The 16,321-nt window shown below is 44.5% G+C and overlaps 2 pseudogenes, besides 4 other annotated features; both read left to right on the forward strand.

The window, feature by feature from the left end:
* Positions 1-3,542: 3,542 nt before the first annotated feature.
* On the forward strand, positions 3,543-3,799 carry LOC124906018 (small integral membrane protein 30-like; annotated as a pseudogene).
* Positions 7,456-7,615: an enhancer, noted in NCBI's record as "active region_15942". NCBI's record gives its function as "activates an Ori minimal core promoter by ATAC-STARR-seq in GM12878 lymphoblastoid cells {active_cell/tissue: GM12878}" and the evidence as "EXISTENCE:reporter gene assay evidence [ECO:0000049][PMID:35858748]".
* Positions 7,846-8,015: an enhancer, noted in NCBI's record as "active region_15943". NCBI's record gives its function as "activates an Ori minimal core promoter by ATAC-STARR-seq in GM12878 lymphoblastoid cells {active_cell/tissue: GM12878}" and the evidence as "EXISTENCE:reporter gene assay evidence [ECO:0000049][PMID:35858748]".
* Positions 8,026-8,105: an enhancer, noted in NCBI's record as "active region_15944". NCBI's record gives its function as "activates an Ori minimal core promoter by ATAC-STARR-seq in GM12878 lymphoblastoid cells {active_cell/tissue: GM12878}" and the evidence as "EXISTENCE:reporter gene assay evidence [ECO:0000049][PMID:35858748]".
* Positions 8,954-9,248: an enhancer, noted in NCBI's record as "tiled region #1618; K562 Activating DNase unmatched - State 8:EnhW". NCBI's record gives its function as "activates a minimal TATA promoter and a strong SV40 promoter by Sharpr-MPRA in K562 cells {active_cell/tissue: K562}" and the evidence as "EXISTENCE:reporter gene assay evidence [ECO:0000049][PMID:27701403]".
* On the forward strand, positions 9,477-12,329 carry PPIAP64 (peptidylprolyl isomerase A pseudogene 64; annotated as a pseudogene).
* The last annotated feature ends 3,992 nt before the right edge of the window (positions 12,330-16,321 follow it).

Raw genomic sequence — 16,321 nt, forward strand, 5'->3', positions numbered from 1 at the left:
GTCCCTTGTCTTTGTTCCTATGTCCTCTTCAGGGTTCTGTGACACCCATCCTAGGCACTTTATTTCTCACATACTTACTCTGGCTGGGCGCCATGGCTCAGGACTGTAACCCCAACACTTTGGGAGGCCAAGGCAGGAGGACTGCTTGAGTCCAGGAGTTCAACACCAGCCTGGGCAACATAGGGAGACCCTGTCTATACAAAAAATAAAAAATTAGCTGTGCATGGTGGCACATGTCTGTAGTCCCAGCTACTCAGGAGGCTGAGTTGGAAGGATTGCTTGAGCCTAAGAGGAGCTGCAGTGAGCCATGATTGCACCACTGCACTCCAGCCTGGGTGACAGAGTGAGACCCTGTCTCAAAAAACAAAACAAGGCCAGGTGCGGTGGCTCACGCCTGTAATCCCAACACTTTGGAAGGCTGAGGCAGGCGGATCACTTGAGGTCAGGAGTTCAAGACCAGGCTGGCCAACATAGTGAAACCCCATCTCTACTAAAAACACACACACACACACACACACACACACACACACACACAAAATAGCTGCATGTAGTGGCACGTGCCTGTAGTCCCAGCTACTCGGGAGGCTGAGGCAGAAGAATTGCTTGAAGCCGGGAGGCGGAGGTTGCAGCAAGTGGAGATCCAGTCACTGCCCTCCAGCCTGGGTGACAGAGCAAGACTCCATCTCAAAAAACAAAACAACATAAACACACACACATATACTTGCTCTAAGTGTTCTTTCTTGTCTGATCAGGCTGGTCTCCTCTTAGCAATGGCTCTTAAGATTTGCAGGCGGCTCTGTCTCTTCAGAGAGCCTATGCAGACCTTATCCCGTTTGACTGGCAGACTCTCCACCGCCCGTTTTTCGGGTTGCAGGTAGAGGCCTGCAAAGGTGGAATGACTTGTCCAAAGATCTAGAGTTCATGAAGAGCCAGGCTGGAACTGAGCGCTCTAAAGGCATTTGCTGTCCTCGCCTGCCCAGTGTCAGTTCCCCTTCTCATGGCGGCAGCCTGACTTTGCTGTGGGAACTACCGCAATACCCTCTCTGTTGTTTGAAATTTGTGGGCTCATGATTGGGCCTGAATAATGAGAGCACCCATTCTCCTTGACTGTCACAATTAGCTCAAGGATGGGCCGGTAACCCAGCCAGGCCAATGAGCCTCAATCCCAAGGCTTTTGCAGGAACTGATGGAGGGGAAATTGTTCTCTGCCCACTGGGGTTGCTCAGCTGGGATGATATACACCCAGTCATTTTTGCCACTGTGGAGGGAAAGCCTGCCTGAGAATACAGTCAACCCAGAGGAAAGAGATCCAAGACTCTAATAGACACTGCCCTGGCAGCATGATTTGAGCTTTGCACATTTCACTCAGCCATGCCAGAAGATAATTTATCCCTGCACTTCATGGTTTCATACCTCCTCTTTTTGTATTAACTCAGTGTGAGTTGGGTTCCTGCATCTTGAAGCCAAAAAGTCATTACTAACACAACCACAGCCTCTTTCTCTGTGATCAGTGTCTCTCTTTCTCCCAACATGCCACATGCATTCCCATCATCAACATCTTCACTCCAGCTGATCTCCCCTGGCCTGTCCCACCATCCCTCCACCCCAGGCCAAGTCTTCTTCCTCTCTGTCCAGCCTTCCTTAGCTTCCGCGTCCTTCACTGCTCTGACCCCTTCTCAATTTCTGTACATGCTGGCACCACACAATTTCACACTTAATGCCACAGTTGTTGGCTCTTGTTTCCATATGTCGCTCTTGTCTCCAATTAAATTTTAAGTTCTTCAAAATCAGAGATTGTGTCCCACCCTTCCACAGATCCTGAAGCAATGCTGGGAAATAGTAACTAAATTTGTGTTGAGCACATACCGTAGGCCAGTCACAGCCCTAAGACCATTACATGCACTAATCATTAAATCCTCACAACAAACCTGTGAGGTAACTATGATCATTACCCCTATTTTACAGATGAGGAAAGCAAGGCATAAAAAGGTTAAGGAACTTCCTCAATTGGCTAGGAAGGGGTAGAATTAGGATTTTAACTCAGGCATTCTGGGCTCCAGAGCCCAGACTTAATTACTACACTACACAGCTTCTTAATGCATCTTTGATAAATATCAATTGATTCAACATACAGAATTGCAGAGTTACACCAAACCTAAAGCAGTAGGTGGTAACCTCTAGGGAGTCACTCTGATCATCTGAAAGGTTTTGTACCCTTCTAGAAAGTGCATGTGCACACACACACACCACATGCACACCACACGCACCCCTGACAGAAAGAAGAGTGGTAACCAGAAGCCCTGATTCTGGGGCTGCTTTGCTATCTTCACCCTAAACTTCAGTCCTTTGTTATGATTAGGTATGGGGAAAAGTATGAGAAAGATGTTGTCTCCACTCTCCAAAAGTTTGACCTCAGAGTAAGGCTAGAAGCTGACATGAGCAGCAAACAAATTGGTTTTCAATGCCTCCTGCCTCCTTATTCTGTAGCATTCATGGGGCAGTGAGCATTCACCACGTCTGCCTGCCCAGCATCCACTTCCCTCACTCTCATGACAGTGCTTTGATTTCCATTTGGGGGACCACCACTCCCCCATTGCATGCAACAATATTGGACAGTCAACCAACTGTCCACCCTCCTCTGGCCAAAGAGTAAGTACATGACCCACATGAGCCAGCTGGACTCTGCCCTGGGAATTTGAGCAATACAAGGAGGAAATTCAGTTGGAGGCAATTCAAAGACTTAGAGCATGAGTGCCCATCTGCCACACCAAACCCCTGAGCTCCTTTGCTTTCTTTCCTGTCCGAAACCTGATTCTTGAGCTTTCCCCTCAGTTCCACATGCTACCTGAGTTGGCTTTATAAATGCCAACCTGGCGAGGCTGAATTACATTTCCCAGAATTCGCTTTCCTGTATGTTTCCAGTTAGGGTGGGCCATGTAGAAGCTCCTGGAGTGAGATTTGCAGGGTGGAAGTGAAGCAGCACCAGTTTTTGTAGCTTGCACACATTGTCACTTTCCGCTGGCTCACCGCGTCAGCAGGAGGCAGGGGCTGGGCCTGTAGCTGCTCTACCCTTCCCAGGATCCTCCTTCAGCTTTCCCGACTTCTGAGCCAGACAGGTCTGCTTAGCACTGTGATGAAGTATCCTGACTTCTGCAGGAGACCCATGCCACCCAAATCAGAGGCACGGTTTCCGTCCCTCCTCATGGTCTCCAGCGGGTGGTTTCCAGCTTTTTCTTGTTCACCCCCACCTTACACCCATCTCCCTGGCCCAGCTGCCTGCCCTGTGGACTGCAAGCTTCAGCATCAGACCTGAGGGCAAGAGCCTTACAGAGACTGTGTCAGCAGCTCCCATGGGTAGGTAAGATCAAATCCTGGTAAGAAATCCCTAGTGCTGATTCCTGTTACGGCTGCTTCCTGGAAGGCAGTGTCACGTGGAACCTCTAAATTGCAGCATTCAGAGCTCCAGGAAGGGAAAATTTCAAGTTAAATAGAATTCTATATACCATGTCTTTGGAACCTTCAGCCCTCAAGATTCCAACATCATGACCTCAGTTTCAACACCTTTGTCCTTAGTCCTCATGTCATGCCTTTGATGCTGCCTGTTGTCGAAGCAGTAGAAGCCTGCGATGCAATCACTCTCTTGTTAGGTGTGGTTCTCAGCATTACAGGCATTTGTGCTTGCTTGAAGGTATATGCAGAAAAGAGACAGGGCAGATGTGACTTTGAAGGGCTTACTGAATCAAACCTCACCCTGAAAACCTTTGTGCTATTGAGGCTAAACCTGAGCTTTGGTATCTGACAGTTTCCAAGAATCAGTAAATAAGGGAGTTTTACATTCTTCATGGTTTCCATGAAATGGGAGCAAACAGATACATATATAAACATTAAAAAAAGTTTTCTTTACAACAAATAATGCGCTGAAAAATGCAGCCTATAATTTGTATTTGCTGTTTAGAAAGGAAGTCAAAGAGGTAAGATGGCTGAAATTGACACAAGTAATATTTCATAGTTTTAGAATTCTCAAAGCATGTGAAATAGGAAGAAGGAAGTTGTTGCCTAGAATCTTAGGAAACCATCACTGTTCAGTTATAATCACTGCCTCCTGAATCATTGAGGAGTCTTTTCTCCATATTTTTATTCGATTTTTGTTTTGTTGTCTTTCAAGGTAATATTGTATTTAGATACCAGATAGCCAAAAATGGAAACTTTTATCTCTGGGGGAAAAATGTTTAGAAAAATGTATTCAGTGTATCTAATATTGAAGTGAAATGCAGAAAAGATTTAATATTAAAAAAACACTATAGACTGGGCACCGGTGGCTCATGCCTGTAATCCCAGCACTTTGGGAGGCCGAAGAGGGCAGATCACCTGAGGTCAGGAGTTCAAGACCAGCCTCGCCAACATGGTGAAACCCCGTCTCTACTAAAAATACAAAAATTAGCTGGGCATGGTGGCGTGTGCCTGTAATCCCAGCTACTCAGGAGGCTGAGGCAGGAGAATTGCTTGAACTGGGACCCAGACCCGGGAGAAGGAGGTTGCAGTGAGCTGAGATTGTGCCACTGCACCACTCCAGCCTGTGCTACAGAGCAAGACTCTGTCTCAAAATAAATAAATAAATAAATAAATAAATAAATAAATAAATAAATAAATAAAAAAACAGAAAAAACAATATAGACATTGACATAGAAAAGAGATTTAATGTTAAGAAAACAACTTTATATTAACTGAGTACATCCTCCTGATGAGAAGTACTATAGTAAATATAAACCCATTATGTTATTAAAAAAAAAAAGAAAAGAAAGAGGCCGGGTGCGGTGGCTCACATCTGTAATCTCAGCACTTTGGGAGGCTGAGGTGGGCAGATCACTTGAGGTCAGGAGTTCAAGACCAGCCTGGCCAACATGATGAAACCCTGTCTCTACTAAAAATACAAAAATTAGCCAGGGGTGCTGGCACGTGCCTGTAATCACAGCTACTTGGGAGGCTGAGGCAGGAGAATTGCTTGAACCTGGGAGGCAGAGGTTGCAGTGAGCCAAGATGGTGCCATTGCATTCCAGCCTGGGCAAAGAAGGGAGACTATCTAAAAAAAAAAAAAAGGAAAAAGAAAGAAAGAAATCCCTAGTGCTTTGCTTCTCTAATTGATCTCTGTCTAATTTACTACCCTAAATCTTCCTAAGAGTCCTCTTTCATATAAGTTATTCAGAGTCTATTTCTGTTGCTTGCAGCCAAAAAATTCCAAACTGTAGACACTGCATAATATATAAGAAAATATTTGCAAATTATAAAGCACCACATACACGCATGTCCAATTACATTTGTTAGTATAGACCATGCTGGAAAGATGAAGTCTTGGATCAGACAGACAGATTCAAAACCGAATTCTGCTGGGTAATATTTGCATGTCTTTGGACAAAGTTACTTACTTTCACTGAGCCTGTTTCCCCTCTGTAAAAATTTTTAGAAGTTAGCAGCTAGTAGTTAGGATTAGGTCTCTGCTGTGGTTTAGATATGGTTGGTTTGTCACCACCAAAGCTCATGTTGCAATTTGAGCCCCGATGTGGTGCTCTTGGGGCACGGGGTCTAGTGGGAAGTGTTTGGGTGATAGCGGTGGATCCCTCATAAATGGCTTGGTGCTGTTCTCCCAGTAGTGAGCTCTGTCTCTTGTGAGACTGAATTAGTTCTCGTGGGGATGGATTCATTCCCGAGAGTGGGTTGTTATAAAGTCAGACGCCCTTCGGCTTTCCCTCTCTTCTCACATGTCTGCTTCCCCTCTGACGTTCTCCACCATCTTGTGAGGCAGCATGAGTGAGGGACCTCACCAGAAGCCGGGGCTGTGCCCTTGAACTTCTCAGCCTGCAGCACTGTGAGCTAAATAAGCGTCTTTCTTTTATAAATTACCCAGCCTCAGGTATTCTTTTATAGCATCACAAAATGTACGAAGACATTCATTCATGAATACAAGGGAAAGCCCTAACCTCTTATTGGCTTAAACAAGAAACAAGTATTTTTGTCTATTGTCAAAGTCATCAAGGTAAACAGCCTAGGGCAGGTATGGTGGCTCCCAGATCACCAGGGCCAGACTCCTTATGCTTTTGTTTTTACCCCCTCTGGACGACAGGCCCATCCTCATGCTCCACAGTGTCCACACCTTGCTGATAGGGAGACTGGGAGATACAGTCTTTATTATGTGCTGTGATTAAAATGGGCTCCTGTTGTTGAGGCGGGAGGGGAGAGTGGGCATGGGGAGGCAACCTGCTGCTCTGCTGCCGTGGAGACGGTAACAGGCTGTGGCGAGAGTGTGTGGAAATCCCTTCCCCCTCCTCCCCTTTCAGGCTCCTGTGCTCTTTCCCTGTTCTCCCCAGCACCCTTCCCAATGCCAACATTCACTGTGACAACAGTTTGTAATAGGACTTTCATCCTTAAGTCCAAGTAGCAAAATGGATGAAAAAAGTGCTCTGACGACCTCCACTTATATACAAAAATGGTGAGGTTAAGAGTTTATTATCACGCCTGTAATCCCAGCACTTTGGGAGGCCAAGGCATGTGGATCACCTGAGGTTAGGAGTTCAAGACCAGCCTGGCCAACATGGTGAAACCCCATGTCTACTAAAAGTACAAAAATTAGCCAGACATGGTGGCTCACGCCTGTAATCCCAGCTACTCGGGAGGCTGAGGCAGGAGAATCGCTTGAACCTGGGTGGTGGAGGTTGCAGTGAGCCGAGATCATGCCAGTGCACTCCAGCCTGGGCAACAGAGTGACTCCATCTCAAAACAACAACAACAACAAACTATAGTATTTACCCCAGAGTTTTGTGGTGGGGATTTAAAAATACAACATGAGAGAAACAATATAGTAAGCACTCCACAAATATTAGCAGCTATTATTATTATTGTCAACATTATCATCTTTATAAATGTGATCCTGATCAAGACTCTAGAGACAGGCCACTGGTTTCCCTCCAAGTTTACTCCTCATTCACTGTCTTTCTTTCTTTCTTTTTTTTTTTTTTTGGAGATGGAGTCTCACTCTGTCACCCAGGCTGGAGTGCAGTGGCGTGATCTCAGCTCACTGCAACCTCTGCCTCCCAGGTTCAAGCGATTCTCCTGCCTCAGCCTCCTAAGTAGCTGGGACTACAGGTGCATGCCACCACATGCAGCTAATTTTTTGTATTTTAATAGAGATGGGGTTTCACCATGTTGGCCAGGCTGGTCTCAAACTTCTGGCCTCAATTGATCCACCTGCCTTGGCCTCCCAAAGTGATGGGATTACAGGTGTGAGCCACCTCGCCTGGCATATACTGCTTTCTTTAGCTTCCATAGCCTCAACCGAGAGCAAGAGAATAAGGCTTCTGACATTCTTCCTAGGAAGCTTTACGGAACAGATTGGAAAATTCACAACAAGCCCTAAGTGGCCCATAGTGGATTAGTGGGGACTGTGGCCGTCAGGACTCCCCCTTAGCTGAGGCTTCTGTGTCTTCTGTGTCTGCTTTCTTAGGGCCCTTTAGCCTGTGAGCTCTTAGGAATGCAGGAAGACCCTCTCTTTCCCCCTGGGTGGTAACAAAATTTCCCCTGGTCCATCATTCCTGAGCCCTAGTTCAGTCTGTGTGCGGCCAGGTCAGCGCTCAATAGGGTTCCAAACCTGTTGGCTGCAAGCACAGACTCCCTCTGAGTGTGAATGTTATCTCTCACCAGATGAGGGATGTGCTCAGCCCAGATCAAACACTTGTTTATCTACAGGGTGGTGAGAGCCAAAACTCTGCTTCTGTTTCTCCCTGGTGGTTTATTTGCTTACCCTTATCACCTCTGAGCAGTGGTGTTGTTTGCATAGAGTTCTCGGTTTCTGGCATGTTAAATTTAGAGGTACCCCAGGCTTCTCGGAGGGATCAGAGTGTTGAGCAACTCCTCAGGGAGGTGCAGGAGAATATCACTGGATGAGGGGTCAGGAGATGAGGGCCTGGGTCTGTCTTCAAATGCAGAAATTGAGTGCAGAGGTCTCAAAGGCCTCTTCTGGCACTGACGTTCTGACTGGCCATGAAAGCCTTGGGTGTCATAAAGAAGAAAAGTTGAAGACTTAAAAGGAGGAAGTGTGAGTGTCTTCAGCCTCCGGTGTGAGGGAGAACTGTGAGTCTCTTTTGACCACAGTTTATTTTGTGTTGCTTCTTTTAGCTGCATGGTCCATACGCCAAAGGTGGGCAGGTGGAGGGCTGCTACTCACTAACTTGGTAGTGCAGAAATGGCTTTTAAAAACAGTGGCTATATGGCTGCGCACGGTGGTTCATGCCTGTAATCCCAGCACTTTGGGAGGCCGAGGCAGGCGGATCACTCGAGGTCAGGAGTTCGAGACCAGCCTGATCAACATGGAGAAACCCCGTCTCTACTAAAAATACAAAAATTAGCCGGGCGTGGTGGTGGGCGCCTGTAATCTCAGCTACTTGGGAGGCTGAGTCAGGAGAATCGCTTGAACCCAGGAGGCGGAGGTTGCAGTGAGCTGAGATCGTGCCATTGCACTCCAGCCTGGGCAACAAGAGCAAAACTCTGTCTCAAACAAAACAAAACAAAACAAAACATTGGATCTGGTGCAAAGAAGATGGAGAGAAATTCTAGAATTCCTGCAGGAAGTTAAGTGATGGTATAAAGAAGTCCTTACTCTGAGAAATGCTTCGTTAAAATCAGAATTTACAGAATAAACGGTTGGTAGGAGATAGAGGCATGTACTATTTACTTTACAAAATAATTCCTCACTTTATAAAAAGCCAAATATTTTCTCTTGGAAGTTAGCCTTGTGATGCTACCAGTAAGACTGAATCTATAATAAAGCTAATGATCCAACTTTTGGTTAAAAAACCCATTCTGTAAAAAGAAGCATAGGCATGCTATGCAGTGTTGTTATATACAAAGTGGGTTTTCTTCATAAACACAATCACATTTTTGGAAGACATTTCTGTAAGATAATGTCTTTCTCAAGGTCCAGTTTGGCTTGCGTGCCTCCTGGGAATTAAACAGGATAGATTTTTCCAGCTGCATTTGAAAGACAAATTCCGTTTCCTTGTGTTGAAAGGTCTGCAATGCCCACATCTCCCACAAGGGGGCAGCGCACCACTGGGTCTTCAGGTACAAGGACGGCCTGGGATTCGGAACGTGCGGCTGAGGGGCCTCCTTCCCAGGGGAAGAAAATCCACTGAAAGTCGTGAAGAGGCGGACCTTATGTACCACGACATAATTGAATTTCATATCTCACGAACCCTGCGTATTTGCCAGAAACTTTCGGGCTGTTCTCATTCAGAAAAGGATGAAATCATTTTGTGTGTTGGATAGTCCTTAGACATTCCCAGAAAAAAAATTATTTTTCATGTATATATGCAAAGTGTATCCAGCTAAATCACAAGCAAAAGTGACTTTAAGCAGGTACCAAGACACGCCGGATCATAAAGACACTGTTCTCCCTTCAAGTTCCTTTGGTGAGTTTATGGACACGCATGAGGTAAGCTGCGCCGTTCATGTTCTACTGCGCGTGACTTTGTACTGCCCCTGAGTGGAAAAGGTATTTGGGATTCGAAAGAAGTTATTATTAAGTACAAACAAATTCCCAAGAAAAGAAATGTAGTATGAAGATCAATTTGAGTGTGTAGGGGGAGTTTTCCTTTCCTGTTTTTGTACTGGGCTGGGCTTGCATTGGTGCACATAAAGGATAATAAAAGTAACTTAAAAAACCAAGGGATTCCATGGTGTCTGGTTTACAAGAGCTGATGGAGAAGATACAATTGCCAAAAGGGAGTATTGGGTGCCAAGACCCAGATCTGGCCTAAGGAAGCACGCATTGGTAGCGCCCTAGTTTTCACCTCATGGGAGGACGCAGCCAGGGAGGCCGTGCTTGACGGCTCTGTCAGGGCGGCAGAATCCAGTTACACCTCCCAACATCCATTTCCCTACTTCCTCAGGACCAGAACTCCCAAATGGTAGCCGGGTATAACACTGCACACAATCAGGTTTATGCTTCTCGGTCTCACTGTGATAGGTGAGACCGAGACACAGGACCAAATCATCACCAATGGATACAAGCAAAAGTGCTCTTCAAAGTGCAAGATGTTCTTTTTCTTACTTTTCCTACTTTTCTGATGTCTGGAATGTGGATGTGATGGTTCAACTGGAACAGGCACACTGGATAATGCGTAATCTTTATTTTGGGTTTTCAGTTACCCGCAGCTGAACCTAACCCTAATCAACAACAATGCCTTCAAAAAACAGGCCAGAGGTTAAGATGGACTTTTTTTTCCTAATTACTTGTTTTATCATTATTTTATCATTTTAATCACCCACCAACATTTGCTTTTATTTATTTATTTATTTTTGAGACAGGGTCTCTCATTTTCCCCAGGCTGGAGTGCAGTAACACAGTCACCACTCACTGCAGCTTCAACCTCCTTGGCTCAAGTGATCCTCCTGCCTCAGCCTCCCAAGCAGCTGGGACTATAAGCTGTGCTACCACACCCAGCTAATTTAAAAAAAAAATTTTCTGTAGAGACAGTGTCTCACTATGTTGCCCAGGCTGGTCTTGAACTCCTGGCCTCCCAAAGTGCTAGGATTACAAGCGTAAGCCACTGCGCCTGGCCCAACATTTATTAAATGTTGTATTAAGGGGCCAGGGGCAGTGGCTCATGCCTATAATCCCAGCACTTTGGGAGGCCGAGGCAGGCAGATCACTTGAGGTGAGGAGTTTGAGACCAGCCTGGCCAACATGGCGAAACCCCATCCCTACTAAAAATAAAAAAAATTAACTGCGCGTGGTGGCACATGCCTGTAATCCCAGCTACTTGGGAGGCTGAGGTGGGAGAAGTGCTTGAACCCAGGAGGCGGAGGTTACAGTGAGCCAAGATCACGCCACTGCACTCTTCCTGGGTGACAGAGCAAGACTCAGTCTCAATTAAAATAAAAAAGTGTTGTATAAAGGGTATTGCTGAGTGATCTGGTTTTAAGTTGGCTTAGGGATAGAGTTGGATCAGAACACCATAAGCAAAGTTCAGTTGTTAAAGAATCCTTCATAAAATTCCTCCACCATGACTGTATAAATGCAGCTGTACTTGGTCACAGCCCTTTTACCTAGAATCTCATGCTTCAAGTTAAAAACACAAAGTCAAAATCCTGTTCCTTCATTCAAGCTTGATGTTTGATGTAAAATATACAAAACCTATGGACAACTGCATTAATGGCCATGCACTGTGAGGATAATCTGCATCTGCTTTCACTGTGCTGTCCTGATTAATAACCATTTTTCTGGTTCTGGGGTTGAGGACAAGGGTTTAGCCTCTAGATCCCTACACAGTAACAAAGATTCACAGTTTTCATACTGCCATTTGTCCATCCTAGACCCAGTAGGGAAAATGGATGAGTAAAGAATTTCTCACCACTCCAGGCAATATGCAGGTACTTAGGGTGGAATAATAGAGGACATTGTCCTAGCAGCCCTGAGTCCTCAGCTGGTTGGACAATGCACAGGACTTCTGTTAGCAGGTCCTGATAAGTCTGAGTGCAGCATGGGCCCAGTGCCCCCAAGCTCTCAGAGCAGCATTAAGCCCCGTTTTATTGGGACTGCTGGGTATGGCCCTGAGAATGGCGCCTGGCAGTCTAGTCTCATCCAAAGCAGGGAGGTGGGGCTCCACAACACAGTGAGAGTGGCCAGACATTCGGAGATAGAGGTTTCCTGGGTAAGCATAACCAACCTGCCTTTTAAAAAAACATAGCTAGCAGATGCCAACGCCACCGGAAGCCCTGTACTACCAGCGTGGTCAACTCCACCGTGTTCTTAGAAATTGCCATCGACAGTGAGCCCTTGGGCCGCATCTCCATCAAGCTGTTTGCAGACAAGATTCCAAAGACAGCAGAAAACTTCTGTGCTCTGAGCACTGGAGAGAAAGGATTTGGGTATAAGGGTTCCTGCTTTCACACAATTATTCCAGGGTTTATGTGTCAGGGTGGTGACTTCACACGCCATAATGGCACTGGTCCATCTATGGGGAGAAATTTGATGACGAGAACTTCATCCTGAAGCATAAAGGTCCTGGCATCTTGTCCATAGCAAACGCTGGACCCAACACAGATGGTTCCCAGTTTTTCATCTGCACTGCCAAGACTGAGTGGTTGGATGGCAACCATGTAGTCTATGGCAAGGTGAAAGAAGGCATGAATATTGTGGAGGCCATGGAGCACTTTGGGTCCAGGAATGGCAAGACCAGCAAGATCACCATCGCTGACTGTGGACAACTCTAATCAGTTTGACTTGTGTTTTGTCTTAACCACCAGACCATTCCTTCTGTAGCTCAGGAGAGCACCCCTCCACCCCATTTGCTCGTAGTATCCTAGAATCTTTGTACTCCCGCTGCAGTTCCATGCTTTCCTTATTCCCTTCCATGCCTAGCTGGATTGCAGAGTTAAGTTTATGATTATGAAATAAAAACTAAATAATAACAACAGCAACAAAAGCATAGCTAAAAGCCAATTGCCCACATATTTTTCAAACGAGCCATAGCGCCTGATTGCAGATTGCTGTTATAATCAGGTTGCACAACCCAGCTTCATATCCGAAGCCTGCATGTTTCACTTACTTTAGAGGACAGTCTGGTGGCCAAAGGAAAAAAGAAAAACTAATTACAAAGTAGCATTTCCCTGGAAGGTTCCAGGCCACCCCATAAGAATTATTCCAGAAATCCCTTACTAAAACACTCTATAATTTACCACCACACTTAGCGAAGTGCTGTAAGTTAAAGAATGGAAACATATTTGCAGTAAAAATTGCACAATAGCCTAGAGCTTCAGGGTTCTGAGACGGTTGTTTTTTTTTAGGCTTCGCTAAGGTCTGGATGCATTATTTTAAATACTGTCAACACCTGTCTCTAATTCCACTCTCACAGAAAGACTTCAAAACAATTACACAGAATCTCAGATAAATGGAGATGAACAAGGTTCTCATTTGGCAAACCTAGGCATTTTGGCACCTAAGGGTTCATCCCTCACTACATATGAATGATGCGCCATTTTGGTTTTTGCATCAGTTTGGTTTACATGGTCTAGTGCTGGAGAGCCTCATCATTTCTTGGCATACTGAAACACAAAGCCACGGATTAGGAGAGAGGAGAGTCCAATGACTCCTGGTCCAGGAGGCTACCTGTTTTTCACAGGGCATCATTCTCTAGATTCAGGAGAGTAAACCCATTTTATCTCACTTGCCAGCAGTTGGTAGTGGCTCCTAGCAGAGTGTGATAAAGCTTCTGAGGCTCAGGAAGAATGAGTGGCATGATTGATTAGTCATGTCTGCAATAAATTAGGGGAAGGGAAGGGTGTACGTAGATGGGATAGGAGTATCTGCATTTGAAGCAATGTATTTCATCAATTCAAATGAGCACATCCTTCTGCCCATTTATGCATCTTTGAAATTAGGATGCATCTTATAATCACTACACCAGATTGTCTTTTCCAAAACTAGCCACAGTATTTCAAGTCTCACATGCTTTTTTTTTTTTTTTTTTTTTTTTTTTTCTGTTTTTTGAGATGGGGGTCTCACTCTGTCGCACAGGCTGGAGTCCAGTGGCACAATCTCAGCTCACTGCACACTCCGCCTCCCAGGTTCAAGCAATTCTCCCACCTCAGCCTCCCAAGTAACTGGGATTACAGGGGTGTATGACCACGCCCGGATAATTTTTGTATTTTTAGTAGAGACAGGGTTTCACCATGTTGGCCAGGCTGGTCTCAAACTCCTGACCTCAGGTGATCCACCTGCCTTGGCCTCCCAAAGTGCTGGGATTACAGGCGTGAGCCACCACGCCCAGCTCACATGCTCTTTCAGAACCTAGCCAAGACCCCATCAAAAAGTAGAATTTACTTCATCTCCACAGGGAATTTTAAACATTTAGCTGGGTGTGGCAGCATACACCTGTAGTCCTAGCTATTCTGGTAGCTGAGGTGGGAGGATTCTTTAAGCCCAGGAGGTTGAGGCTGCAGTGAGCAATGATGGTGCCACTGCACTCCAGCCTGGGCAACAGAGCAACAGAGTAAGACCTTGTCTCACACACACACACACACAAAGAAAAAGGAAGTAGAATGTATGTACTCTGCCCTTGCACTTGGGATAGGAGGTTGTGATTGCCTCAACTAATAGTGTGGCAAAGTGATTGCTAAGTAAATTATGAAGATAGGTCATTAAAAAAACAAGATAGCTTCTGCCTGGTCTTCTCTTGGGATGCTCACCCTTGGAACCTGGCCACCATGCTCAGGAACCCTATGCCATGTGGCGAGCTCAGCCCTTGCTTCTCAGATCTGGTTGAGGTCCCAGCTAACAGCCAGCACCAACTTGCAAGCAATATGAGTGAGTGCCATCTTGGAAGCAGGTCCACCAGCCTTTAGTAGAGCTGCCTGCCTCATGCTATATGGAGCATAGATGAGCCTTCCTTGCTGAACCCTGCCCAAATCATAGACTCCTAAGCAAAATAAATGATAGTTAGTGTTTAAGATATGAAGGTCTGCAGTGGTTTGTTATACAGCAATAGGGAACTGAAATAATCGTGGTCAGCCAGGCTGCAGTCTTGACAGTTGTCACTGCCTGCATGTATGTATACACAAAAACATGTTGAAGAAGTGTCAGTGAATTGAAAGAAAACCCTGAAGGCAATAGTGGAACATGTTTTAAAGAAATGCTACATCACAAACACTTTTATGCACAAAGGACAATATTATAAGGAAAACCATGAACACTGATGGCTCTGAATTCAAAAAGTGATTTAGAAGAATTAAACTCTGAATATGAAGGAATCTAAGGAATAGCATACCAAATTTATTTTGTATAAATTTTTCTTTAATTTTTTTATTTCCATAAGTTTGGGGGGAACAGGTGGTATTTGGTTACATGAGTAGGTTCTTTAGTGGTGATCTGTGAGATTTTGGTGCGCCCATCACCCGAGCAGTAAACACTGAACCTGATTTGTAGTCTTTGATCCCTCACACCCTTCCCATCTTTCCCCGAGTCCCCAAAGCCCAGTGTGTCATTCTCATGCCTCTGCATCCTCATAGCTTAGCTCCCACTTATGAGAACATACAATGTTTGGTTTTCCATTCCTGAGTTACCTTACCTAGAATAATAGTCTCCTGTTTATGTGGTTCTTTTTAAGGATGCACACAAGTGATACACAATGGAAAAAAAACTATGTGTAAATAAAATTAAAAGAACACTCAATTAATATAAAGCAAATAGTGATAAAAAGAAAGGATTTTATCACAGTTTCATCATACCAGCCTAGCATCAGTGATATCAATGACATCTTAGATTTAATGAAATACAGGTGTTTATTGTTGTTGATTCTATTATATTACCAAATACAAGTGTCCTAGGAGAGATTTCCACAAATTTTCCATTTTTTTCTTTGCAAATTAAAAAAAAGTAGATATAAACTTTTTTAAAAGTTCAATTTAATTTTTACTTTCATAATTATATCCCATTGTTCTATAAAACATTGGGGCTGGGTGCGGTGACTCACGTCTGTAATCCCAACACTTTGGGAGGCTGAGGCGGGCGGATCACCTGAGGTCAGGAGTTCAAGACCAACCTGGCCAACATGGTGAAACCCTATCTCTACTAAAAATACAAAAATTAGCAGGACATGGTAGTGCATGCCTGTAATCCCAGCTACTCGGGAGACTGAGGCAGAAGCATTGCTTGAACCCGGGAGGCAGAGGTTGCAGGTGAGCCGAGATCATGACACTGCACTCCCGCCTGGGTGACAGAACAAGAAAAAAAAAAAATTTGCCTCAAAAAAAAAAAAAAAAAAAATTTGGAAACAACAACAAAAAAAAAGCTTAATTTTCTCAACGTAATATTCCAAATAAGTGACTCTCCATGATCACCTGAAATCACATAAATTTTGCATATTATGAATGTTTTAGTTGGCTCCGTTTTCTTGAATGGCATAGCATCAGTGATATTGATGACATCTTAGATTTAATAAAATACAGGTATTTATTGTTGTTGACTCTATTACCAAATACAAGTGTTCTAAGAGAGACTTCTAAAAATTTTCTAAACTAAAAAAAAAAAAACCTTAATTTTCTTAACTTAATATTCCAAATAAGTGACTCTCCATGATCCCCTGAAATCACATATACTTTACATATTGTGAATGTTTTAGGTGGCTGCGTTCTCTTCAATGGAGGTGGGGGAGGGTAGGCTTAATGAAAATGTGGTAAAGTCAATAATTCCAAAAGGCTTAGCTAAAGATATGTTGAACATTAAAGAAACAAAGTGAATTAAAACTACTAATTAAGCATTTATAAAGCAAAA

Source organism: Homo sapiens, chromosome 2 (assembly GCF_000001405.40).
Source record: "Homo sapiens chromosome 2, GRCh38.p14 Primary Assembly".
Classification (NCBI taxonomy): Eukaryota; Metazoa; Chordata; class Mammalia; order Primates; family Hominidae; genus Homo; species Homo sapiens.